The following is a 27,286-nucleotide window of genomic DNA, read 5'->3' on the forward strand; positions in this document are numbered from 1 at the left end:
ACAGAGTGAGACTCCATCTCTAAATAAATAAATAAGTAAAGTACTTACAACAGTGCCTGGAGCATAGTAAACGCTATATAAGTGGTTGTGTGGTGGGCACTGTTTTTATTGTCGTAGCAATCATAATCATCATGTGTTTTCTTTCTCCATAAGTCCCACAAGGACAGGACCTGGTCTCGTTTACCTTTGTAGCCCCCTTACCAAGCACAGTGCCTGTTGTGTGGGAGGTGTTTGACATATATTTACTGAGTGATTATCGAAATGAATTAAGGTTTTGTCTTGCCTTTGCAGAACCCCATGCAGTTTGAAGAATCGGACTGTGACTCTTCAGATGGGGAGTGTTCTGATGCCACAGTTAGGACCAATAAACACTACAGCTCTGCTACCTGGTAATGAAGGAATACACATCCTGAAGATCTCGTGACTATACTGGCATTTCAGATCCACCCCACCCCCAGACTCATCCCACTCTCTCCCAGCATTTTGTCTGGGAAGAGAGACTACCCCATCTTTACCACCCCCTAGAAATGAGCTGCAATAACAGGAACATGAGACTTCGCAAATCTCTGGAAAATAATATCCAAATGAAATTAAGTCTCACTGAACATTTCAATCAAGAATGGCAGGGATCTATTTTATTGAATATTCTAGCTACTGTAACATTGATATTTATTTTTGTTTGACATTTTAACACTTTGTACTGCAAAGAGTGAACTATATATGAGATAGAGAGACAATAATTTCTTGCAAAAAAAAAAAGAGATAAAAGAAAGAACAGAAAAAAAGAAATAAGTGGAATTTAAGAGCAACATCCTTGGGAATTTGTGGGGCCGGGAGGTATTATTGCTGCTTGAACAGGGGACCAGGTCTTTTGGCCATAAGTGACTAAAGAAGAGCCAGAGCAAGACATTGAACATTTTAGAACACAAAGAACAGCAAAAGAAAAGCAATTCCAGGCAACTTGTGAACAGACCATATTCACTTCAACCAGCTTGTCCAGGTGGCTTACGGAAATGACCTAGAAAAGTCTGGTGACCAGATACTTGCACCCAATGTCTTCAAGGGCATGTGCTTCCTCTAGGAGGGAAAAACAGACAAACAAACAAACAAACAAACCTGTGTATGTGGAAGCTGGTTTCATTTTTAAATGTTTAAGCAGCAGTTGGTAGTGAGGTTTACAGATAGTGTCAAATCTTGTTTTTGGCAAATACGTCCCTTTTTAGTGCTGTCACTGTCATTACCTTGGCAAATGTGCTACCTTGACCCAACGTGTTGATCTTTCATACTCAAGTGCCATTTCCTTGTAGCTCATTTCCTTTCTGCCTGCTGACCACTTCCTGTAGGAACAAAGGTTGGGGGGCAGTACTGAGGAGGAGAAAAGGGTGAGAGAGGAAGAACATCTACAGTGGTGTTAGGAAAACGAACGTGGAATTTATAAAACTCCATTCTCAGGATCACTCAGTTCAGCTACGAGGAGAAGATGGAACCACCCCTCTCTGGAGCCAGGTTGCTTGTCTACTTGAGTCATATTGATTCAAGCAGGAGAACAGACTTTGAAGGCAGCTAGGATGTATGTGTGTCTATACAATGTCTGAGCCCAAACCATCCCTTTGTTTTTATTCAATAACTCATTCTATCTTAGAAGTTCTTTTTTTTTTTTTTTTTTTTGACAGAGTTTTGCTCTTTTTGCCCAGGCTAGAGTGCAATGGCACAATCTCAGTTCACTGCAACCTCCATCTCCCAGGTTCAAGCGATTCTCCTGCCTCAGCCTCCCGAGTAGCTGGGATTACAGGCGCCCGCAACCACGCCTGGCTAATTTTGTATTTTTAGTAGACACGGGGTTTCACCATGTTGGCCAGGCTTGTCTCAAACTCCTGACCTCAGGTGATCCGCCTGCCTCGGCCTCCCAAAGTGCTGGGATTACAGGCATCAGCCACTGTGCCCGGCCTATCTTAGAAGTCTTAATGACTGGCTACCACTGTCAGAATAAAAGCAAAAACAAGCAGCTTGCAAAAGGCAACTCCTCTCCCAGCACAATAGCATTTTTGTTCAATGCTACTTGTAAAATATCTTTTACTTCACTCCAAATCAATGCAGTTTTAAATAACTGGATTTGAACATTTGTGGAAAGAACAAGGGATGCTGAGCAGGGATAGGAAGGATTTTTACATTGCCAAAAGCATGAGGTCCTGCCTGTCTCCAGGGTCATGGGCTCTGAAAAGCATTCCAAGGTACTTCATGGTGCCTTGGCCTTAAGGAAAAATTTTTTTAGAATTTTATGTACAAATAGGTGTTGACCTAGTACCTGTCCCTGTCTCCAAGACAGATTACCGTCAAACAACCTCTCTAGATTCACTGGACTCTTTGACACTGCATCATGTTGGACGTTAGGAAATACTTGCACAGACAGCTGTTAAACCATTTCCAATGCACATGAAAATGTTGCCGCTCCTCTGGGTTTTACTGATTGCATCAGCCAAAAAGGAAAGGCAGGAGGGAATTTAGAGTTCCTTTTGCTTGTTTGATCCATTTGTTTACACTTTATGTTGATACATTGATTTAAAATGTAGTGTCTGTGATTTATAGCTCTTAGGATGAAGGAAAATGTTTAATTTATACAAAGAGCAGTATTGTTTGCATTAATTTATTCCATTTTGTAAAAATTCTGTAGCTGGACTACATGAAAGATCTTAAGTTATGGCATTATTATCATTGTTATTTTATTTTATAATATTATCATTCTCATTTTCTGTCGATCAGAAGGTGTGATTTATGATGTGGCACAATGGTTGTGTTTATTGCTAACCAGGAATTATTATGGATTTTATGATTTTAATGAAGGAATGAAAATGGAATTCCCATTTGGGAGCTCCCTGGTATTGATCTTAGCTGTGTTCCCTAATTTTCTGTGTACAACAATCATCTGAGGACGCATGTTCTGCCCTGAAGCCCAATGGATACATTGTGATTTTGACTTGATCATGAAAGCTCCTGGGTGGGCCGATGACCCCCAGGATGTCAAATAGTGGATGGACATATAGTTAAAAAGCTGTAAACTTTCTAAAGTTTCTTAGGAAATAAATTCATGGGACTATATTAGAAATAAAAAGAGAATGATTTAATGTCCTGAGAGGAACAGACCTAGAGGGTTTCCGCACAGGGCTCATGGATTCGTTTCAAGAATTGACAACATAGTTTGCAATCTCCTTCCTGCCAGACCCCTTTGTTCTCCCACCTTTATTCTCCTAGTGGAGAGTAGCAGGGAGACTAAAAAAAGAAATGGTATACAGTAGTCCCCTCTTACCCATGGCTTCATTTTCATGGTTTCAGTTACGCTCAACAGCAGTCCAAAAATATTTGATGGAACATTCCAGAAATAAACAATTCATAAATTTTAATTGCACAGCATTCTGAGGAGCATGATGAGATCTTGCCCCTTGCTGCCCTGGAGGTGATCCTCCCTCTGTCCAGCATATTCATGCTGCTCATCCATTAGTCACTTAGTAGCAGTCTCGGTGATCAGATCGACTGTCTCGGTTATCAGATGACTGTATCGCAGTGCTTGTGTTCAAGTACCCCTATTTAATTAATAATAGCCCCAAAGGGCAAGAGTGCTGTGCCTAATTTACAAATTAAATTTTATCATAGATATGTAAGTATAGAAAAAAAAACATAGTATATATAGGGTTTGGTACTATCAGAGTTTTTAGGCATCCACTGGGGGTCTTGGAATGTATCCCCCAGAAATAAGGGAGGACTACCGTATATACATGTAGGGCATGACATAAAATGCCTAACTGTGATGTCATCCTAGAACAAGACTAAAGAACTTTAAGAAGGAGGCCTGGTCACTTAGAGGACCAACGACTGGAAAAAAATTCTTGAAAGGCTATATTTTCCATCCTCTTGACTTCAGATCTCACTGTACTGTAAATCTCTCTGGTTCATTATTCCTTGGAACAGAGATGCTACAACTCTATGTCTTCTTTCTATCCAACATAAAACACTGGCAGTTTTGTCCAATTCTTGCCCACCTTTAGTGGCAACAGAGAAACATGAGGGTCAGCTTTTATCTTACATCTTTCAGTGATGGTCTTCCTAGAAAACCTACCCCTGATACCTCGTAATTTTGATCAGTTTTTTTTGAATTCTCATCTTGATTATCTGTTATGCTATTGTCATCATACACCTTATGTGGATTAACTGTTATGAGTATGTTAGGGTAGTACGTAGTGGCTGAATCTCAGTCATTCATTGTATAGTCGAGAGTTGAATAAAGTCCATATTGAACACATTTTTTTAAGTAGAATTGACTAGAGGTTTCAGAGGAGAATAAGGTCCTTAGTGGAGGTTAAAAAGGGAAATACCTTCTCTAGCCCAGCCTGGTCCTTCGCTGCCTGCCTTGTGATAACCGGGAAAATCTTGAATTGATGTATGTTTCTTTGAGAACGACTCCACAGTCATCTGAAGAGTGTTGAATCAAGAGCTCAGGGAAGTTATGAGCTAATTCTTCAGTCCTGACAAGTGTGTTACAACAGTGCTTCCAGGAACCTCACAAGACTGTGATTTCAAGCTGCTTCATTGATGGAAAGTTTCACCATCTTGGGATGAATGTCCATGTTCCGTTAGCGTCTGTTTTTAACTGACTGCAAGATGATGAGTTTTAATTTGGGTTGCAGATGAGCATTTGGTTCTGATTTTCATCTATTTCAAGATCATATCCTCTGGATAACAGTTCCTTTTAAAATTGCTTTGCAGAGGGGCTGAGAAGCCTGCATCTACTTTGAAATTATAATGGACCTTACCACCACTTAAGTTTAGACCTGTTTGCAAGATGGTGGGGAGCTCCTACTGAGAAAGATGAAGATGCTAGCTCTATTGTAAACTGGCGTCTTCATCTAGCTACTTGAAGTTGAGATACTATATTTTAAAATGTTGGCATCAAACAAATCTATCCTTCTAGAAGTAAAGACATTTTGAGTAGGATTTAGTAAGTACTGGACATCTCCTGTAGAGCTTCATCATGCTAAATTATTCCCCTCTCCTTTTCTAAATAATAGATGTGCTTGGGTTTGGGATTTACCTGGCACCAACCCAGACTTTTTTTGGGGGGGGGTGAGGGCGCAGGATCTCACTCTGTCACCAGGTTGGAGTACAGTGGCATGATTATGGCTCACTGCAGCCTCAACCTCCTGGGCTCAAGTGATCCTCCCACCTCAGCCTCCTGAGTAGCTGGGACCACAGGTGTGTGCCACCATGCACAACAATTTTTTTTTTTTTTTTGTAGAGATGGGCGTCTCCCTGTGTTGCCCAGGCTGGTATCGAACTCTGGGCTCTAGCGATCCTCCTGCTTTGGCCTCCCAAAGTACTGGGATTACAAACGTGAGCTGCCATGCCCAGCCTCCAGACTATTTTAAATGCCCTCTCCCACTGTGGAACATTGGCATCCTTTAAGAATAAATGCATCCTTTTTGATCAAATGATTTACTCTTTTTTTCTTCAATGTCCTCATGTCTCAATTTTTTTTTCCTTTTCTTAAAACAGTCCCACTTGAACTTCCTGGAACTGAATTCTCCAGAACATAATATTTATAATCCATAGAATTCCTGCCCTGCTCTGCAGTAGAGTGTGCTATGTTTTGTTTTCCCACTGAGCCAGAAGCCGAAATATTATACTACCACTTACCACCATCTACCACCTCCAAGACCAAGACCAACATTATGTATTGAGCATCGTATCTTTCCTACTGAGCCTAGACACAGCCTCAGAACCTCTCAACATAGCACTTGGAGCAACAATTGCCGCTTGATTGGAATTGCCATTTGAGCTTGAGTTAGCCCCAATGGCAGAACGACAGGCTCGCACTAGTGTCCACCTGTGGCTGTCAGGGGCGGTACCACAGAAAGGGGAAAGGCCACTTGCCTCTACCCACTGCCCTTTTGGACAACAATTCCAATTGAAGGAACACCAATCACTGATGGATCCCATTCCAAAATGTCTCTTCATTCACATCATTTAATTCTGTTGAATGAATATGTTCCTCCCTCACCTTTTATAAACAGAAAATTAATATAAGTCCCAGTTACTTGCTTCTTAGACTCTGTGAGACTCATGTACCAAAACAATGTGACATTCTTTTCGAGACTTTGACTTGTACGGTCAGTATGAATTTAGTGCCTTTCCAGGCAGCAAAATGTTTCTTCTTTGCTGATTTCATAGGACAAATATCCTAGCATACTCACACCACCAGTGTCCCACCCTCACAGACTGGCACATTAGAATCATATTAATCTGCTTGTTTGCATGTTACAACTGATACTGCAAAAGCCTATTCAAGTCGGACTGAACTAGGCTAAGCAGAGGACCCTTGTGGAACCTGGAGCATTTCTCAGGGACAGGTGGCTAAAGAGGGGAGCTCTAAAATCACTGCTCTGAGAAACAGGAGGTGGGTTAAGGCTTTTGTTAACTGTCATGTGGCCAGGGTACGATGGCAGGACTTCACAGAGCAGAGCCCTAAGCAGATGGCAAGGCCACTGTAAGGAAGCTCCCGGCAGCATCCCAGGTCTGCTCTCCAGAGCCACTTCACAGCACTCAGGGATCGCTGGCTCCCGGCCCTAGGCTGCTGTCCAGTGACCAGGTGGACAGGGTCCTCCAGTGACTGCAGGCCAAGGGAACCCCAGCCAGCATGTGCAAGCTATTAGGAAGATGTCCCATCTTGCCCATATCACCCCAGTGGCTCTTCACCTTCAGAGTGACCACTTCCCAGACTCTGGAAGTGGGAAGACCCTCTTTGACGCTTTATTACAGTAATTTGAGCTCCTATCGACTTGGAGCGAATGAATTTCTCTTTTGTGGTTAGGTCTCCAAATGAACCTCCTTACCTGGCTCCCCTCTGGTCTCCTGTACTGTCAGTCCCCAGCTCCCAGTGTTGTTTTCTGATGCCGGCTCCCTCTCTGTATTGAACGGCAATGGGAACAAGAATGACTATCAAAGCAAACAAATGCATGGAATTAAACAAAAAGTGTACTTCACTGTTTTCTAGTCCTGTCTTTTTCTAAATGTACTGTTTGTGCCCTGAGAGCTGCCTTAATAATCTCAGCATTTGTCAGAACTTGAGGGAAAGGAAGACTTTCCATGACTGGGTTTCCTGCAGCCACAAAAAGCAGGTAATGGAGAAAGCTAGTTTCTGCGATTCTTGTATTTGACACAGCCACGAAAGGAAGGGGCAATCATCATTTTATTTGGTGACAGCCTCTTCTTGAGTATTCTGTAAAAGCTAGACTGGCACTCTGCTTCTTCCCTATGCTTTCCTGCTGCCCATCCGGTAGCTACTCCTGTTACTACTGACCCCACTATACAGGGAGCAGAGAGAGAAAATGAAGATGAAAATCTGGCTTCTGAGAAATTATTTTGGTAAGAAGCATTGAGAGTGGAAAGCTTAAAACACCATTTTGGACTGTCCAATTTTCAGCCAATCCTAATTCCCACTGGCAAAGGTAGTTGAAAGTTAGCAACATGTTCAAACAAGCACCACACAGAACACTTACATCCATTTATTTGGGAAATTGCTTCACCTGTAAACTCACAACTGATAAGGCACATTATTGCAAAACTGTCGGGGTGGAGGGAGGGAGGCAACTCTAAGGATCCTGAAAAGGGGCAAAGGGCACACACTTGCGATGATGTGGAAAACATGTTTCTCCTTCCCTCCCCCTACTCCAGAACACCAAAGGCCACAGTCTTCAAAGTCTGCTGCCTCCTTCCCCCACTCTCGTTATCAAGGCTTCTTTTAAAGAAACACGTTTTAAACAATGAAATCCTCGGTGTGAAAGGATCATACCATAACCAAAAACCATCACCTGGGGATGCACTCTTCCTATGGAACGTGAGTAATTCCCAAGAATTCATGTAGAACAAGAGGCATAGATTAAAGTCTTGGCAAGACTCTTGGCCAAACCAAATCATCAACCCAGCAGATGATGCCCAAAAGCAGCAGTCTGGTAAGTCCTGATGAGTTACTCCTGTGGGGTGCAGGATCACAGGGCTGGTCAGTTTAGGTGCCAAGGTCCTTCTGTCTTTGGAAGCATTAATCCAGGTCTGTAACAATTCTGTACTGCAGCTACAGGAAGTAATGACAGCTATAGGCCATTAAGATACAACACAACAAAGTTATCAGAAGCCAAGGTTTCCTCTTTGAATTAAAAGATAAATTAAAAGATACAATTGTTTAGTTACTCTAAGCAAATACAACAATGAAAAACATTCAGAGGGTATACTGCCTGATGGCCCCATATACTGAACCCATTCTCCTAGCATGACACAGAACGGATTCCTGCAGAAAGGACAGATAAAATGTTTGCCTGGTCATGATTCAGGTGAGTCAAGGGCCCTGCCCCATCCAGATGGGTAAGAATTTCTCCAGAACATATCCATGACATACAGCGTTTGCTCCATTCATATTTAATAGTCTGTTTGCAATCAGCTTAACTGTCAGGACATGCGATCATAAGGAGGTCTGACATACATGGTAATGTCAGTGTGTCTGAACACAAGAGCGTGACAGAAATCATCATGTATGTGAGCAACACGTGGAAGTCCTAGGCAGTTCGTCAACTTGTTTCACTTGGCTTATGAAGAGGTAGGTCATCAGCAAAGAAGTACAAAAAAATGCTCTTCAAGAGACTAACAGAAGATGAAGAGCGGTGTCAGTGATGTGAGTTCCCGTGTCATCATTGGTACTAAACATCCACAAAGATGCAACAGGAGGACATCTGTCCCAGCAGCCTGTCACTCTGCAAAAGCAGTACTCTGGACAAGGACAATCAGCATCTTCTCCCAAGGCAGCTCAGGGGCTGGCATGAGGCAAATACAACAGGCTATCCCGAACTCCTTATTAGACCACAAAATACAAACAGCATTTTCTTTTTTTCTCTTTTTTTTTTTTTTTTTGTCAAGACAGTGTCTCACTCTATCACCCAGGCTGGAGTGCAGTGGTGTGATCTTGGCTTACTGCAACCTCTGCCACCTTGGTTCAAGCAATTCTCCTGCCTCAGCCTCCCGAGTAGCTGGGATTACAGGTGCCTGCCACCACGCCTGGCTAATTTTTGTATTTTTATTAGAGACAGGATTTCACCATCTTGGCCAGGCTGGTCTTGAACTCCTGACCTTGTGAATCACCGGCCTCGGCCTCCCAAAGTGCTGGGATTACAGGCGTGAGCCACCGCGCCCGGCCACAAACAGCATTTTCTAGGAGGCATCTGTTGCAGTGTCTGCTACACCAGGGCTGGTTTGAAAACCTGATGTAATACACCTTCAAGAGCAGAGTGTCCTTTCTGAAAAGACACTGCACATTGATGCACAGTGTCCACATCACCTATAGAAGGCAATCAAAAACAATGAGGGGCTTTAGAGGACCACATCCATTACACAAATAAGCAACTGAGTCCAGGGATGTGGCAAACAGAAAATCCAGATCATGTGTCTTTTCTACTGTGTATATGATTAGCAGTACTTGTTTCATTCAATTGCAGATGTTTCTGACTAAATTTTTTAATGAGGGTTCCAGGAATTAATGCCACCATGGCAATGGCCAACAGCTTAAAGACAGTGTCCCAGGAGAAAAGAGCATCCAGAGAGGTTAGGGTTGACAGGATGGACCCTGTCTGCACACAGATGAAATTATATGGGATCAAACCTGGAAGAAGAAAAGGACAAAGCACCTGTTACAAGCAGCAGCAAAATTAAGAAAATAATAATTCAGAATGTCACCAGGAACAGTGACTACGGTTTTTTTTTGCTTGACTCTTGACCCTTATACATATTAACTCTTTCCCTTCTTTCCTTCTTTTCTATTATTTTCCCTCCTTTCCTCACTTCCCATATATGCCTGTCTTGTTCAACAAAAGAACTTGAGATATTTACACAAATAATACATGCTACTATAAGACAATTTTAAAATAGGGCCAGGAATGGTGGCTTATGCTTGTAATCCCAGCACTTTGGGAGGCCGAGGTGGATCACCTGAGGTCAGGAGTTCGAGATCAGCCTGGCCAACATGGTGAAACCCCGTCTCTACTAAAAACACAAAAATTAGCCGGGTGTGGTGGCATGTGCCTGTAATCCTAGCTACTCAGGAGGCTGAGGCAGGAGAATCACTGGAACCTGGGAGGCAGAGGTGGCAGTGAGCCAAGATCTTACCACTGCACTTCAGCCCAGGCGATAGAGCTAGACTCTGTCTCAAAAATAAATAAATAAATAAATAAAATTTTAAATAGGAAAAGCAAAATGCGTGCAGAAGAATACAAGACATCAGGGAGTACAGTTAGTAAAAAAATGCATAAGGTTCACCTGTTTGCCAAAAGTGGGCCCCAAATTTGGTTCTGAGTACCCAACAGCCAAAGTAAAGAGAGAAGTGCCATTGTTGACAAACAGTTTTTTAAAAGAAGTACTATTCACATTCTGTACTGTCTCAAAGATGTCATCAAATCCACTGGATTCCAAAAGTCTGGCTGGCTGAACAGGCTGGCTGCAGAACAATCAGCTGGTGACATTGTTAAAAAACCACATCCTTGGGCTCCACCCCAGAAATTCTGGGTACTTGGTTCTGGGGTAGTGCCCAGGAACCTGTATTTTAAAAGCCCCTTCTCCACTCCCACCCTGAGATTCCGATTGGTTTGGAACACTCTGATAGTCCATTTCTCTTCTATAGGAGAGGAAGTATACAGGAGATGAAGATCCCAGACCCCTCAGGGTCACACAGCTTGTGAGACAGAGGACAGGAAGCCTGGTCTCCAGAATCTTGCCAAGCCTCATGCCACCTAGGTAATTAGAAGCAGCAAACCCCCACTAGCTGAGGGCCTGAGGCACTTTGTCTGAAAGCCAATATGACCAAAATTGGCCGTGGTAGATCTTGCTTCTATTTAAGATCTCCATTTCTCTCAGGTATCTCCTATGAATAGCAGCTGCTCAACCACAGATTTGCTCTGTTTGACCTAGAAGCCCTGAATCGTCTTTCCCTCTAGGATCTAAGGGAGGTTTAAGAGAAGAGATCCTTGCCTTAGGCTTAAGGAGGGTGGTTTTCTTCCAGTATGGAGAAAGTAGCAAACACTGATTTTATAGGATGTTAGCACTTTACCACTCTGATAAAGGTGGTCCAAGGCCCATACTTCAAGAAACACTGCTCTAGTCCCAGCCCCTTATCTGGACGAGTAGCCCGTTCAGACTAAGTAGCTCGCTGCAGGTCATATAATTGTCAAAGGCAAGGAGAAACTTTAGATATCGTCTAATTCAGTAGACTGCAAAACTCAGGATCCAGCGGAATCCCTTTTAGGGACTAACTACTTGCATCACCTGGAAAATGTTAAAAGATCCTGATCCCTGAGTCCTACCCCAGAGATGATTTAGTTGATGTGTGGTGTAGCCTTAGCTTAGGGATTAAAATCTCCACAGGTGATGTTTTGTTGTTTTGTTTGTTTTTGTTTTTTTGCTTTTTTTCTTGAGATGGAGCCTCACTCTGTCACCCAGGCTGGAGTGAAGTGTCATCCTCTCAGCTTACTGCAACCTCCGCCTCCCAGGTTCAAGCCATTCTCCTGCCTCAGCCTCCCAAGTAGTTGAATTACAGACGCACACCACCATGTCAGGCTAATTTTTGTATTTTTAGTAGAGATGGGGTTTCACCATGTTGGCCAGGCTGGTCTTGAACTCCCAACCTCAAGTGATCCACCCGCCTCAACCTCCCAAAGTGCTGGGATTACAGGTGTGAGCCACTCAGCCCGGCCTCCAAGTGATTTTTAATAGGTTTGCAGGCGATTCTTAATAGGTTTGCAGTTTGAGAATGACTGGGTTTGCAGTTTGAAAATGACTGACTAGGAACTGGATTAAAATGCATATTCCCAGATTCCACTCCCAAGATTCTGATTCAGTAGGTCTGGAGTAGGCCCCAAATCTAGATTCTCAACAAGCCCCCTGACCCTAACAATCTGATGAAGGTGGCCCAAAGCCCACACTTTGAGAAACACTGCTCTATTCCTAGCCAGGTGGTCCATTGAGGGTAAGTAGCTTGCTGCAGGTTGTGCAATTGTCAAAAGGCAGGAAGGAACCACACTGATGCCAGCAATTCCTAAGGCAGAACTTAATCAAAACAGGGGCCAAAAACCAGACAGGAAGTCCCTTGCTCTGCTCCTTTCTTCTGTCCCCACTCAAAACTCATGGACACACACCCTCATTCCAACCCTGCTCTTCCTGCTAGCATTTACTGAGTACTTACTATGGGCCAATTTGTATACTTTACACAGACCATCTCTTCTAATCCCAGTGCCTAGTGCATACAGCCATGCAATGGACAATCTTTATTTAGTCCAAAAGTATTTTTATGGGTTTTCATGTTGAAGCCTGAGCAGATCTGAAATCAGGAATCATTTCTTTAGATCATAAGGCTTGAAGTCACACTTTGTGAGCCTGTGTTCTCAGAAGCAGGCACATGCTCACGTGGCCAATAACCCAGGGCAGACCCCCAGCGTGACAGCTCTGAAGACTCAAACCTACCCCACTAGCATCTTACCGATAAGAACTGAGAAGAAGAACTGCACGATGGGAATGTTCAGAATTGGGGCCGAGAGGTTCAAGAACCAGTTTGGTGTCATGGGGAAAAGTCTCAAAAACAATAAGAAAAAAAACAAGCTGTTTCTGTTCTCCTCCACCTGTAGCCAAAGAGAAGAAAGCTGTTAAGAAGCAGAAAGGGTCTCCAGGTGTTGAAAACCTGCTGGTGCCAGGCACTGTTCTAGACACTTTACATAATCTGTTCCCAATTCTTCCAACAACCCTCCAGGGAAAGACTGTTTTCCTCATTTTAAAATAGACATGCTGAGGATCAGAGAAGTCAAGAACTTGCCCAAAGTCACAGAGCTGGTAATGATGGAGCTGGGATTTGATCCCAGGTCTATGTCTCCTGAAGACATCAAAAGAACCCCTAGGACCTCCTGAAACAGCGTGGAAGAGTACTGTGGGAAATCCCTGCCACTCGCTTCTCTCAAGGCCATGCACGTAGCGACTGTCTGGGGTCCCAGCTCTCAGATGTGACCCCTCCCCTTACCTTTCTCTGCAGCAGGGCCACTTTATCAGGAAAGTAGGACACCACCAACTGTTTGCCAAAAATACTGGAGAGCAGGTAGCAGCATGTGGCACCCACCGAGGTCAACACACAGCACAGCAGAAGCCCCAGCCATGGCCCAAACAAGGCACCAGCTAAAACATTCTGCAAATAAAACAAACCCTCAGGCATGTGAACATCTGGCAGCTACCAGGCACGTCATCTTGGAGCCTGAGAGTCATAGGTTCCCTCCTCCTTCACTGCTTTTTTCCAGCTAAAACCCAATTGCGTTATTTATTTATTTTTAAGAAACAGGATCTCGCTCTGTCACCCAGGCTGGAGTACAGTGACATGATCATAGCTCACTGCATCCTCGAACTCCTGGACTCAAGCGATCCTCCTGCCTCAGCCTCCCAAGCAGCTAGGACTGTAGGCACACACCACCACATTCACCCACTTTTTAAAATTTTTTGTGGAGATGGGGTCTCACTGTGTTGCCCAGGCTGGTTTCAAACTCCCGGACTCAAGTGATCCTCCCACCTCAGCCTCCCAAAGTGCTAGGATTACAGGCGTGAGCCACTGCCCCAGGTCCCAATTGCCATTTAAAGAGGTGAATGAAAAATTATGAAAAGGCTGGGAACTACACCTGCCGTCAGTCTCTTCACCTTGAAAATGAGGATAAGGATAAAAGCCTCAGGGGGCAGGAGAGAATGAAATGGGATCTGTGGCTGTGGTAGATTCTGCAATGACTGGGGCTCCAAGAAAGTAGAAATGAAACTCACGAGTTATTTTTACTATTTCAAAAGATGAACACAAACCATGAATTTTCCCTTGGTAAGACCACACAAGCTATGTAAGATGTCTTGTTTCTTTGCTTTTTGCTGGAATTACATCTATGCAGTATGTTAATACCGGGGTTCCATGTTGACCAGAGCTCTAGCAGACATTTGAAGATGTCTTGGTTTAAGAAAAAGGGAAAAGTGAACCAATACTTCCTAAATGCATTTTGGTTGGTAGACATCATCCTGACAAAACATGGGATCCAAGAGAGAAAGTAAAAGGAAGCCTTGGAAGTGGGAAGCTGGGGAGCCGCTAAGCACTGTGTTAAGTGCTTGACTACATGTCCTGTGTAATCCTCACTACATCCCTGAGTCATGCCATCCTTGCCCCATTCTACAGGTGAGAGATTAAGTATCCTCCCCAAGAGCACAGCAGGCAGAGTCAGGGTTCACCCTCAGGTCTGGATGTGGAGCCCCCACCAAGCAGCAGCTGGCTCTCTGCCCTGAAGAGGGATCAGTTCAAGACAGAAGACAGACACAGGGCAGCCTCAAGGAGTCAGCCCCTGACCCCGAGCCCCACACACCTCCCCTGCCTCTCTTGGACATGTTTGCTTTTCTTCTAGTTTCCGACAAGGAAACTGTTTGAGCAGGTCCAGCCTCAGCCTAGAGGAGAGAAACAGGCTGGGGTGGGAGAGGGAAGCAGTACAAAAGGAAGCTGTCAGTGTCTCCCACTTCGGTGCTCAATCCCTCCGTAAGTGCTGAGGGCCACTGTGTGCCAGCCCCGATACACCCACTGTCACTTTTAATCATCCCCACACAACAATCCCATGAGGTTACAGGGGAGTATCCAAATTTTACAGATAAGGAAACAGGGTTGGAGGGAGGGCAGGACACTGACCAGGAAGCTGGAGCCGGGGATGGCAAAGCCCTGTTTGTAGAGGTAGGCGCCGCAGAAGAGCAGGAACACGTAGGCCTGGTGCTCCTTCCGGTACTCTCGAAGGACCTCAGAGAGCTCCCGCAGCTCTGCCAGGTCGGAGGGGAACCACAGCGACCTGGGGATTTGGAAAAGCAGATGGAAACATGAGTTCAGATCAGTCCAGTGCCCATGAAAGTCACTCGCTGTGTCTTCTTTTCAGAGTAGGTTTATAAATATGCCCATCATCTGATCTGCTGGGAACACATACACTCCCAATGACAGATGACCTGATACGACGTTGCGGAGACAGACAGGAGAGCCCTAGTTTGGAAGCAAGAGACCTGGGTTAGCATCCCAACCCTGCTACTTTCTGTTTTACGTCCTTGGACTAGTCCCTGAGTCTCTTTCCTTATCTAAAAAGTGAGAGGTTGGTGCTAAACAGTCATTAAGTTCCCCTTTAGCTCTGGGATTTTAGAATCTGTTCTTAAGAGGCAAATGGATTCATTTCCAGGCAAGTTCTAAATGTCTCAAATTGCCTTCCTTTCAAGGACACTGCCTCCCCCACAAACCAAGAACAATTCAGACTTCAAACTGTTCCTGAGGTGCCAAGTAAAACGACTTTTTAGCATTCACTATAAAGCCAATTAGAGATTCTTCAGGAAAGTATATCTATCCCATAGGATAAATGTAACTTTTTTGATAATATGTCAGGCTTGAATCGAACCCTTTCAAAGAGCCTACTATTTAACTCTGCTCTTAATCTGGTCCTCAATGCACTTTGAATCCTGCCCAAGGGTTATAGTAGCAAGGCTATCTTGCCTCTGCCATCTGAACAGTCCTTGAATCCATCACTGATTAATCATGAGCAAACCCTCCTACTTCTCACGAGAGTTTCTCTCGGTATGTCCGACACCCACAGCAGAGCCTTCTTAGCTACAGCAAAAGAATACAGTAACTGAAAACAGCTGCCTTAATAGTCAAATATCAGTAATTCCCTTAACCACGCAATGCTGTACTAGGCACACTTCCATGCACTTTATAAAGAGTATGCAGCACTCACAAAAACCGGCCAGGTAAGTATTGCTCTGCCTCCTGCCTCGACCAGTCGTTCATTAGAAGGGGAAAAGGAGGCCAGGCGCGATGGCTCACGCCTGTAATCCCAACACTTTGGGAGGCTGAGGCAGGCGGATTACCTGAGGTCAGGAGTTCGAGACCAGCCTGGCCAACATAATGAGACCCCCCCCCCGCGTCCCTACTAAAAATACAAAAATTAGCCGGCCGTGGTGGCGCGCGCCTGTAGTCCCAATTACTTGGGAAACTGAGGCAGGTGAATCGCTTGAACCCGGGAGGAGGAGGTTAAAGTGAGCCGAGATCGCGCCACTGCACTCCAGCCTGGGTGACAGAGCAAGACTCCGTCTCAGAAAAAAAAAAAAAAAAGGTAAAAGTAGAGACAACCAGGAAGACGGGCAGAGTCGATAATTAATTCGTGAATAATTTAAAGTTGTCTATGCAATATTTCTCCTGAAGATCTAATGTCTAAAGTCTCAAGGGCAGACCTGACGTAAGTGGGGTGGGGAGGAGGAGAGACAGTTGAAAGTGGACTTGAAGAGGCTGGGGGCCCGCACGGGGGCGAAGGTGGGCTGGAAATGGGGCCCAGGGCTGGGACTGGGAAAGCAACGGCGCGGGCAGGCTCAGCGCCGCGTCTCCCTCGGCAAATCCACCCAACCAAAGGCACCGCGGCGTGACGCCCTGCACACCCTGCAGCCAGCACCACACAGGTCCCAGTCAGGCCCGGAGCCGGGCTCCCATCCACCCTTCTGTCCGAGACCGTGCGGACGCGGGCCCGGATACCAGACCCGGATTCCAGTCCGATAAGTGAACCTCAATTCCCAACGCCTCCGATACCGGAACCCGAATCTCCGAATCTCCGATTCCCAGCCCCGGTCCTCGGACCCGGCTCCCTTCCTCTGACCCGAACCCGGATTCCCGCCACGCACCTGCCTCCAGCCTCCTCGGTGGAGCCCAGTCTCCGCCCGCGGGGCAGTCGCGTCGACAGCAAGTACAAGGCGAAGGTGCAGCCGGCGAAGACCAGAAGGAGGCCGAGAAGCGGGCGCATGTCGGCTCCGCACCCCGGCCCGCGGGGCAGCCGAGAAGCTCACTTGCACTCCGGGACGCAGCGGCGGGCGGACTGAGCCCGCGGAGCACGTTCACTGACGGACCAGGGAGGGGTCCGCGCCGAGACCCGCCTCCGAACCAGGCCCCACCTCCTGAGCCAGGCCCCCGCCCCCGATTCTGACTCCGCCCTCTCTGTCCTTCGGTGGAGACTCCGGGAAAAACCTGCCTCCCAGTCTGCCCTCTCTCCGTCTGTCTGTGCTTGTTTTTCTACGTTTATCCCTGTCGCTTTCCCCACTTATTCTGCAGGCATGGCGCGCCCCCAGTGCCGGCTTGGTGCCAGGGCTGGGAGATCCGGGGGTGAATCGTGAGCCCGGCCCACAGCGAGCTTGCAGTCTAGAGATCAAGGCAGTCTTGTCCACAACCTGCTGTCACATAAAGCAAATGTAGCTGGTGTAGCACCAGGGGCTGCAATCAAGTGCGGTGGGGCGGCAATAGTGACCACGGAAATAATCAGAATTGCTTTTAATTCAGCTCCTACTATATTCCCGCATCCCTGAGCCTCACAATCATCCTCCAAGGTAGGTATTTTTGTCTTTCTCTAACAGATGAAAACTCTGAGTTTCAGAAGAATTAAATGACATCCCCCCAAAAGAGAGACAGTATAAGAATCCAAGTCAACCTGAGTCCAAAACCAGTGGCCCTTAACACTGTGTGGCTTTATGGAGGACATGGAGTTTAAGTTTACCTTCAAGGATGAGCAACACTTTTCTTCAAGCAGAAAAAGAAGGGAATGGGTGAACACGGTCCCAGGTAAGGCACCAGAATCCAGTTTCAGTGAAGCCTAAGGTATATGAGAAATAAGTGAGAATCTGGGGACAAACAAGAGTGCACTGAAGGCAGGCTAAGGAGTTAGATTTTTAATAATGTAGATGAGACACCAACAGAGGTGTTTAAGTAAGAGAATGATTTCGTTCCTGTTTTAGGATGTTCGCTTTGGCAGATGATTAGAATACGTGCTGACTTGATAGCCACAACTGTCCTGATAAGAAAGTACGCCGGCCTGGCTGGGCATGGTGGCTCACGCCTGTAATCCGAGGATTTTGGGAGGCCCAGGCGGGCGGATCACTTGATGTCAGGAGTTCGAGACCAGCCTGTCCAACATGGTGAAACCCCGTCTGTACTAAAAATACAATAATTAGCCGAGCATGATGGCATGTGCCTGTAATCCCAGCTACTCGGGAGGCTGAGGCACGAGAATCGCTTGAACCTGGAAGGCAGAGGTTGCAGTTACTTTCCCGACATTGCACCACTGCACTCCAGCCTTGGCGACAAGAGCGAAATTTTGTCTCAAAAAAGAAAGAAAGAAAGCACTCAGGCCTGACCCAGGACCACAGCAGTGGACATGGAGGGAGGAGGCTGGGGGTAGTTGGATTGGTATGATATGTCACTGAGTAAACGAAGGAAGGGACAGAAAGAGAACTCCAAAGTGTCAAAAGCCTGGACAACAGAGAGAAAGCATCCTTGTCCTATCATTTAAAGCACCTGTTGGGCCAAATAGGGAGCACCTTTCAGAATCCATGTGCACAAGATCTCAGCAATTCTACGTCCAAGAATGTAACCTACATCCAAGAATGTACTGGAATTTAATTCCACATCCAAGAATCCCCATAGGTAGCAAAGATGTATATTTAAGGGTATTCTCTCAGCTTTGTTTTTATGTTAGGAGATTGGGAACAACCTAAATGCCCATCAGCTGGTGACTGGCTAGGTTAACTATTCACAAATGGAATACTAGGTAGCCTCCTAAAAGAGGAAAGCAATTCTACATATCCTGATACAGTGTGGTCACCAGATAGATGGCTAAGATACAAATAAAACAAACAAGTTGCAGTGTTAGAGTATGCTATGTATCACTCCTTTTTAAGGACAAAAAGAGGATATACTTTAACTTTTTAAGATACCAAAGTATTTATTTATTTAAAATTTTTTTCACAGAATTGTTATAGCATGTAGAACCAAAAATTATTTACAAATGAAATTATTCAATGTCTGAGATTTGTGTCAAAATAATGGTATGGGGGTTTAGTGAGTAAGCATGTAGGTAGAACAAGATTGTCCATGAGCTGATAGTTGTTGAAGCTGGGTGATCACCTGGGTGTTTTATACTATTTGGGTGTTAAACTATTTTTTTTTCTATTCTTGTGTATGTGTCAAATTTCCACTTAAGAAAATGGGGGAAAATGGTGTCAGCCCTCCATTCCAGCTGAACACACCATGTTAGTTCATGCCCCATCACACCACTCTTCTAGCCATCTGTCAATCTTCTCTGCCTGGCAAATTTCTACTCTTTCATCAGGACCCAGGATAATTATCACCTTCTCTGAGAGGGCTTTTCCAACCCCTATAGTCAGAATCATTCCTTCTCTATGCTTGGGGCCCCCTGAGAAATGTCTCTAATCCTGTCACAAATACATATTCCAGTGTCATTATCCATCTCCCTAGTAGACAGTGAACATTTCCATCAATGAGACAATGTCTCAACTATCTTCTTTCTGTCTCAACCCTTAACCCTGGCACTTAATACTTGTTTGTTAAATTCATGGGTCAGGTCTAGTGAAGACAATGATTAGTTGTTTGGTTTGATACATACTGACCTTGAGAAGTCAAAGGGATATAGGAGGAGAGAAAGTGAATGAGGAACTGATGTTACTGAGCCTGTGCTAGGAGACTGCTGGGGCAAGGAATAGAGTGAGGAGAAAGGAGGCAAGGCTCCTGCTGGCAAGGACCTCACTTTCATTTCAGCTGGGGAAGAGCATGGAAAGATGTCATTCTAGAGCATGGTAAGTGCCATGGATGAAATAGACAAGGCAAAACTTATTCCACTTCAGCAAAGCGAGTGTCAATATTCTACTTATGGATGAGTGGATGAACACATGTTCAGATGAAATCACTTGTGCAAAGTTTACAGCTGTTAGTGCTGAACAGGAACAAGCCTTTGTCTGCCATCATGTGCGGCCATGCTTTTTCCTCTGCCCTTCACTGCCATTCGACATGCAGGTGACACTCTGGAGCTCGGACCGAACATTCAGATTTGGAGGTCATTCTACAGGAGATAGTTGAAATGAGGGGAGGGGAGAAGGTCTCCTAGAAACCACAAGAGAGGGAAAGTAACAGCAGCTGACTTTCATTGAGTACTTAGTACACTCCAGACCCCATACTAAGCATTTTTTTTTTTGAGATGGAGTCTCGCTCTGTTGCCCTGGCTGGAGTGCAGTGGTGCAATCTCGGCTCACTGCAACCTCCTCCTCTTGGGTTCAAGCGATTCTCCTGCCTCAGCCTCCCAAGTAGCTGGGACTACAGGTGTGTGCCACCACGCCCAGCTAATTTTTTGTATTTTTAGTAGAGCCAGCATTTCATCGTGTTAGTCAGGATGGTCTTGATCTCCTGACCTCATGATCTGCCCGCCTCAGTCTCCCAAAGTGCTGGGATTACAGGCGTGAGCCACCGCACCTGGCCCATACTAAGCCTTTTACACTTTTAAAAGTAAAAGTGAAATCACTTTGCACAAGTGATTTCATCTGAACATGTGTTCCTCCACTCATCCATAAGTAGAATATTGACACTTGCTTTGCTGAAGTGGAATAAGTTTTGCCTTGTCAATTTGTTTATTTATTTATTTATTTATTTATTTATTTATTTATTCTATTATATATTTATTTATTCCATATAACAACCCTCATTAAGTAGGAACTCTTTTTTGAGGGACAGGGTATTACTGTGTTGCCCAGGCTAGTCTTGAACTTCTGGCCTGTGGTGTTCCTCCTGCCTTGGCCCCACAGAGTGCTGAGATTACAGGCTTCAGCCACCATGCCCGGTCTAAAGTAGGAACTCTTAACAGTCCCACATTTATAGCCTGGGAAAATGAAGCTTAGGAAGAATGAAGTCAACAGAGCAACAGAGGTCACACACCTCGCAAACAGCAGAGCCCAAATGTCTTACCATGCACTACCCTTTTGAGAAAGAAGACTGAAATCAGGAGCCTGGTAAGGAAATGGTGGAAACAGTGAAAGAGAACAAGATGCACTGTTTCATTTGTGAGATGAGAAACAGAAAAAAAGAAATGTCCTGAGAGCCCAAGAAAGACTGTTAGGAAAGGAACTGGGGCAAGTGTCAGAGTCCATGGAGAAACCCAGCAGGGAAACCTGAGGGTCATGGCAATTGGCCAACACGAGGCGATAAGGGACCTTTGATGGAGCTATTTTTGGTGGTGCTAACCTTCTTTGCTACAGGCTCACAACTGGAGCATCTGCTTGCTTCCTCTGACCTGCCCCCTGGACTCATGTTGTCATTCTTCTCGCTCAACCTGTCTGCCTAGGGAAGAAGCCCTGGACTGTGTTTCCCCAATCTCAGTATTCCCAACCCTCCTGGCCCCCAACCCAGTACCTGCAGAGCTGACTCTAACCACCCAGTGCACCTCCCGCAGGCTGCAGCAGCCCCCATCGAGGCCACTCATTTACAGCACAGGCCCACACAGTCTGACAAAGGACAGCTGCAATCCTCTGTCAACTGCAGTCCTTTCCCAGGCACATGCTGGATTGGGAAACAGGTGGGAGAAAAGAACAGGTAAGACGTTCCTGTGGGAGTGAGTTAGCCTGGCATTTACTGTGCCTCTTTGTGAAGAGCAGCCAACCTTTTCTGGCTTAATCAGACTTGCCTAGAGCACTTGAAAAGAATAGCTCTGAAGTCCATGTGATTTTGCTTCCCCACCCCCACCCCAACCATGACTGATTGGAACTGGATAGATGTCTTCCTCAGGAGGAGGAGCCAAGGGCTGTTTCCTGTCCCTGGACTTTGGAATTGGGCCACCTAGTCAGTGAGTGGCCAAGAACCCAATGAGGCTGCCCCATGAAGGGAGCTGAGCTCAGTCAAAGAGATTCATGGCAGAGCACTAGGGTTAATAAAGGCCCACGAACTCTTGTTGCTGAAGGCTCTAGGGCTGCCCCATCCCTGCCCTTCCTGAGATTTGGTGGATCACCTCTTCCTGGGTTTCCACAAGTCCTCTCTCTCTCTCTCAATAACCTATTAAATTGGGGTGTGAGTGGATTCCTGTCCCTTGCATCCAAAGTCTCCTTGGCTATAATGGAGTTCTATAGGAATGAGAGCAAGGGGCAGGAGCCCAAGGGTAGGAGGTTCTAAGTTTAGGACTTTAGAAATAACATTGTTAAGTGTGTTGATGTCTAAGTCAGAATGGAGGTGATTCCCTCAAGTTTCTAAGCATCATCCATTCCATTCTGTCCAACAGACATTTATCAAGCACCTACTCTGTGCCTAGCATTGTGCTAGGTGCTAGAGAGCCAAAAATAAATAGCAGCTGCTCTTGTGGAGGTCACAGTCTTGGAGGAGTTAAAGACACGGAAACAAATTACAACACAGCGTAACAGCAGTGACAGAAGCACGTATGATATGGTTTGACTGTGGCCCCACCAAATCTCATCCTGAATTGTAGTTCCCATAATCCCCACTTGTGGTGGGAGGGGCCCAGTCGGAGGTAATTGAATCATAAGGGTAGTTTCCCCCATGTTATTCTCGTGATAGTGAGTTCTCATGAGATCTGATGGTTTTATAAGGGGCTTCCCCCTTCACTCAGCTCTCATTCTTCTCTCTCCTGCCACCATGTAAAGAAGGATGTGTTTGGTTTCCCTTCCATCACGATTGTAAGTTTCCTGAGGCCTCCTCAGCCATGTGGAACTGTGAGTCAATTAAATCTCTTTCCTTTATAAATTACCCAGTCTTGGGTATTTCTTCATAGCAGCCTGAGAAGGGACTAATACAACATACGAAGTTGGCAGCAAAGTGAGTGGTGGAAAGGAGAGTCATGGAAAAGCAAACAAGGGAGGGTTATAACTACAGCTTGGCATCCTCCACTAATGTTGTAAGGTCCTGGAGCATTTTGGCAATGGTGCTAAAATGAGGATGTAAGGACAAAATCCCCTAGATTTTCGACAGGTGAGCTTGTGAGGTGTTGGGACCACCTGGAAGATGTGATAAGAAGTGACAAAGGGGCAGGGTGTAGTGGCTCACACCTATAATCCCAGCACTTTGGGAGGCCAAGGCAGGCAGATCTCCGGAGTTCAGGAGTTTGAGACCAGCCTGGCCAACATGGTGAAACCCTGTCTCTACTAAAAATACAAAAATTAGCTGGGCATGGTGGCATGTGCCTGCAAGCCCAGCTACTCGGGAGGCTGAGGCAGAATAGCTTGAACCCATGAGGTGGAGGTTGCAGTGAACTGAGATCAGGTCACTGCACTCCAGCTGGGCAACAGAGCAAGACTCCATCTCAAAAAAAAAAAAAAGTGACAAAGGAGCCAACTTCTCTCTTTTCCAGGAAGTCTGGGAAATGGGCTATTGGCCTCCAAAGATAATGGAGACAATAGTAATGAAGGTGTCTGGGAGAAAAGTCTAAGGCACAGAAGGTTAGGCACCCTCATGGAAACAGACTATGGCTAGGGTGGAGGGCAAGTCTTTACTCACAACTGAACATGGTTCCATGGGGCTCAGAAAATAACAAAGAGTGTTCATTTAATAAATGTTTCCTGAAAGCAGACTATATGGTAAGCACATGGCTCCTGCCTTGCAGAGCAGTCTAGTGGAGAAGACAGATATTTATCAAATAATCAGGCAAATAAAATAAAAAAAACAGGCTGGGTGCGGTGGCTCACGCCTGTAATCCCAGCACTTTGGGAGACCGAAGCAGGCAGATCACTTGAGGTCAGGAGTTTGACATCAGCCTGGCCAATATGGTGAAACCCCGTCTCTACTAAAAATACAAAAATTAGCTGGGCATGGTGGCACTGGCCTGTAGTTCCACCTACTTGGGAGGCTGAGGCATGAGAAACATTGGAACCCAGGAGGCAGAGGTTACAGTGAGCCAGGATTGCACCACTGCACTCCAGCCTAGGTGACAGAGTGAGATTCCGTCTCAAAAAAAAGAAAAAATGTTTAAAAATACAACTAAAAAGTGCTATGAAGGAGAGGTACAGTGTGGAACCTCTCTGTATGGAAATAAGGTCCAAGAAGACTCCCTGAGGAGGTGGCAATTGAGCCACGATCCAAATGATGAGTAGGAGGTCACCAGTGAAGAGGGGAGGGAAGAGGGTAGACTGTAATTTAATTGTGCTTTGAATTTGGCACTCAGACAGATATATGGTACTGAGAAAGAGAGGGGAAGAGAAGCAAGGATAACAAGAGACAGTCAAAAGTTCCAGGGGCCCTTGGAAGAAAGATTCTGAGAACAGAGTGGCCACAGTTATAACTGCCTTTATTTCTCCTGATCACTGTTACATGAAACTTACTGAAATTCATCTCCTCTCCGGTGAACAAACTTCCTTTCTTTATCCATTCATTCACCCATCTACCCATCCTACAGTGAGCCAGGTACTGAGAGCTAGGAGACCCACGAGCCTAGAGTTTACAAAGTAGTAGAAATTCTATTTCTGGCATTTTCTTGCTATTGTTTTGACTCCCTGCTTACCAGGAAAGAGAACAAAAAAGTGACTGTGCTGATCAAAACACAGACCAATAAAACTAAGAAGAAACCAGGGCTGCCGGGTACGATGGCTCACACCTGTAATCCCAGAACTTTGAGAGGCCAAGGCCAGTGGATCACAAGGTCAGGAGTTCAAGGCCAAGATGGTGAAACCAGGTCTCTACTAAAAATACAAAAATTAGCCAGGCATGGTGGGGGCGCCTGTAATCCCAGCTACTTGGGAGGCTGAGGCAGAGAATTGCTTGAACCCGGGAGGCAGAGGTTGCAGTGAGCCAAGATCGTGCCACTGCACTCCAGCCTGGGTAACAGAAGGAGACTCCATCTAAAAAAAAAAAAAAAAAAAAAAAAAAAAAACCAGGGCCTACAGCACACTGATCTCTCTATCCACAATTGCTGAGGAAATGTGAGAAGGAGGAGGAAGGATGGTAACATGTCCAAGAGCTTGTTCCACTCAGAGTTCAGTCATCCCTCACTTAAATAAAACAGACTCTGTATTTGCTGCAAATGTAAATCTGTAAGAAGATGTGCCACACAGGAATACATTTATAGATTTCTTTAATTTATGACATAGAGAATCCATTTTTGGCCGGGTGTGGTGGCTCATGCCTGTAATCCCAGCACTTTGGGAGGCCGAGACGGGTAGTCACCTGAGGACAGGAGTTCGAGACGAGCCTGGCTAACGTGGTGAAACCCTGTCTCTAATAAAAATACAAAAATTAGCCGGGTGTGGTGGCACATGCCTGTAATCCCAGCTACTCAGGAGGCTGAGGCAGGAGAATCAATTGAACCTGGGAGGTGGAGGTTGCAGTGAGCTGAGATCGTACCATTGCACTCCAGCCTAGGCAACTCCAAAAAAAAAAAAAGAGAGAGAGAGTCAATTTCTTCATAACAAAGGCTATTTTCACAGATAGCAGTTGAAGGAGCAATCACTTGGGTGAAGAGGAGGTGACTGGGCCTGTCACCTCCTTTTCACAGACCTTCCTGCAGTGGCCACAGCCATGGGACAGATCATGCCTCCCCTCACACTGGGCATCTGGCCCCAGGGATTGTCCTCCCTTCTTTCTGGCCTTGGCCTGACAGGACCTCTTGACTGGACTCCTGCTGTCATTCTAGATTTGCAGACAGCATCTACCTCCAGGGAAGCAAAGGATTCCTCAAACTGGAGTCTTCAGATTCTCCAAAAGCAAACCGGTTCATGTTTTGAATTCACGTGTTGGCAAAATAGGTGACAGCCTTGTTCCAAAAGGCTAACATTAATTACCTCTAATAGGATCGTGGACAGTATTTTTTTTTAATTTTGTATCTACGCATTTTCTAAATTTCCTTCAATAATCATAGATTACATTGGTAATAAAGAAACATAAACATTTCTTAAGGGTTGCTTAAAATGAGCGTTGCCTGTAAAGTGATCCTTCTCCACCTTAGGTGAAAAATAAGCTCTGCTTTTCCTTCCCTTGCCTCATGCTCCATCCCCTGTCCCCATGTGAAGAGGCTGCCCCACGGCTTCCTCGTCCTTCTTTCTTCATCCACTATCTAGTCCCAGCAGCCGCCCTCTTAGCTGTCAGTCCATCCCCATCTCCTCCAGCTCCTCCATGCTCCAACAGCACTTTAGAGAAGGCAGAGGGCCAGCACGTGGCTTTCTTGCCTTCCCTGAGCAAACAGCCCGAGAGAGAAGCTGGTGTTGATAGAGAGAGGCTCTCTTATTGCAAATTAGATAAGCCCAAATGTAAAAGCATATTCACATTTATCAAACATCTCATAGATGTGGCACCTATGGGATTTCAAAAAACCCTTCATAGATTTTTGCCTCCCAAACCCACACAGCAGCCCCATGAGGTAGACGTCAGTTTCGTTCCCTTCTACGTGTGGGAACTGGAGGAATGTGGCACGGAGAATGCAGAGTTGAGTCCACGGTGAGGCCTCCAGTCCGTCCTTCCCTTGAAGATGCTTGACCCGCAGCCGCGATGGGCAGAACCACCCGCGTGACAGGCAGCAGAATTGACAGGTCGGAACAAGGGAGGCCCCAGGACACAGCAGACACAGCGCTGCGCTGCTGCGAGCCTGGCTATTTCTGACTTGCCCTAGTTAGGGGCTCCTTCCCAGGATCGTTTTATAATCACAAGGTTGTTTGATGTACAATGTGACATCCATAGGACGCTACTGAAAAAAGCCTTGGTTTTTTTCATACTTTTTCTGCCTTGCAGAAAGGTGAGGTGAAGCTTTCAAACAGCCTGTGGTTGTAGCTTTCTTTCTATTATTTATGGCCATGTGTCCTGGCAACAGTTACAACTGCAACTCTGGGCAAAGAATAGGTTGGAAGACTGTTTCAACGTTTTCCATCAGGACAAGATCATACCGACACAGCTGAGGCCTGGGAAAATAAGACAAAATATCCTTGTAAATGAATTTATAAAAATGCAATGGTCTAGTAAATAATATTATATCCTTAAGATACAAAATTATTTAGCAATTGTTTTTAATATAGAAAACACTTACGGTGGCCAGGCACGGTGACTCATGCCTGTAATCCCACCCAGCATTTTAAGAGGCCGAGGCGGGCAGATACTTGAGGCCAGGAGTTCAAGACCAGCCTGGCCAACATGGCTAAACCCCGTCTCTACTAAAAATACAAAAATTAGCTGGGTGTGGTAGTGCGTGTCTGTGGTTCCAGCTACTCAGGAGGCTAAGGCAGTACTAGAGCCCAGGAGGTGGAGGTTGCAGTGAGCTGAGATCACGCCATTGCACTCTGGCCTGGGTGACAGAATGAGACTCTGTCTCAGAAAAAAAAAGAAAGAAAATGCTTATGGTAAGTAAAACACCAAGGAGAAAGCAAGATATATGGC

At 45.5% G+C, this 27,286-nt stretch overlaps 3 protein-coding genes and 1 long non-coding RNA gene across 16 annotated transcripts in view, besides 1 other annotated feature; 2 read left to right on the forward strand and 2 right to left on the reverse strand.

Annotated features, from left to right (window-relative positions):
- MAP3K13 (mitogen-activated protein kinase kinase kinase 13) overlaps positions 1 to 7,031 on the forward strand; it is a 206,134-nt gene extending 199,103 nt beyond the window's left edge. For all 7 annotated transcript variants that reach the window (XM_047449193.1, XM_017007456.2, NM_001242317.2 and 4 more), the window contains one exon: positions 292 to 7,031. In XM_047449193.1, the coding sequence (XP_047305149.1) occupies positions 292 to 393 (102 nt within the window). In that variant the 3' untranslated portion in view covers positions 394 to 7,031. The remainder of the gene's footprint in view (positions 1 to 291) is intronic.
- Positions 7,032 to 7,537: 506 nt separating this feature from the next.
- On the reverse strand, positions 7,538 to 16,972 carry TMEM41A (transmembrane protein 41A). 2 transcript variants are annotated; one of them, NM_080652.4, is made up of 5 exons: positions 16,780 to 16,972; positions 14,765 to 14,918; positions 13,091 to 13,252; positions 12,560 to 12,698; positions 7,538 to 9,694 (listed from the first exon to the last, which is right to left on the reverse strand). In NM_080652.4, exons 1-5 carry the CDS (start codon positions 16,896 to 16,898, stop codon positions 9,474 to 9,476), a joined length of 795 nt encoding a protein of 264 aa, NP_542383.1. In that variant the 5' UTR covers positions 16,899 to 16,972; the 3' UTR covers positions 7,538 to 9,473. The 2 variants fall into 2 exon arrangements, with proteins under 2 accessions (NP_542383.1, XP_016862926.1); XM_017007437.2 differs by lacking the exon at positions 13,091 to 13,252.
- Positions 16,954 to 17,093: a silencer, noted in NCBI's record as "silent region_14975". NCBI's record gives its function as "represses an Ori minimal core promoter by ATAC-STARR-seq in GM12878 lymphoblastoid cells {active_cell/tissue: GM12878}" and the evidence as "EXISTENCE:reporter gene assay evidence [ECO:0000049][PMID:35858748]".
- Positions 17,086 to 22,681, forward strand: TMEM41A-DT (TMEM41A divergent transcript). 3 transcript variants are annotated; one of them, XR_924792.3, is made up of 3 exons: positions 17,086 to 17,707; positions 21,381 to 21,520; positions 22,200 to 22,681. It is a non-coding gene; the product is annotated as a TMEM41A divergent transcript (long non-coding RNA). The 3 variants fall into 3 exon arrangements; XR_924793.3 differs by having other exon boundaries at positions 21,381 to 21,503; positions 22,200 to 22,429; XR_007096201.1 differs by lacking the exons at positions 21,381 to 21,520; positions 22,200 to 22,681 and adding an exon at positions 17,881 to 19,093.
- Positions 24,199 to 27,286, reverse strand: part of LIPH (lipase H) — a 46,327-nt gene continuing 43,239 nt past the window's right edge. For all 4 annotated transcript variants that reach the window (NM_001438029.1, NM_001438651.1, NM_139248.3 and 1 more), the window contains one exon: positions 24,199 to 26,814. In NM_001438029.1, the coding sequence (NP_001424958.1) occupies positions 26,727 to 26,814 (88 nt within the window). In that variant the 3' untranslated portion in view covers positions 24,199 to 26,726. The remainder of the gene's footprint in view (positions 26,815 to 27,286) is intronic.

This window comes from Homo sapiens, chromosome 3, assembly GCF_000001405.40.
Source record: "Homo sapiens chromosome 3, GRCh38.p14 Primary Assembly".
NCBI lineage: Eukaryota > Metazoa > Chordata > Mammalia > Primates > Hominidae > Homo > Homo sapiens.

What these genes read in the sequence shown, in the direction of transcription:
- TMEM41A (NM_080652.4), bottom strand. Translation starts at nt 16,898, where the DNA reads ATGCGCCCGCTTCTCGGCCTCCTTCTGGTCTTCGCCGGCTGCACCTTC. An exon ending in TGGCCCTGCTGCAGAGAAAG is followed by an intron (nt 12,699 to 13,090) that starts GTAAGGGGAGGG and finishes CTTTGGCTACAG; the next exon opens with GTGGAGGAGAACAGAAACAG. An exon ending in CTTCTTCTCAGTTCTTATCG is followed by an intron (nt 9,695 to 12,559) that starts GTAAGATGCTAG and finishes TTCTTCTTCCAG; the next exon opens with GTTTGATCCCATATAATTTC.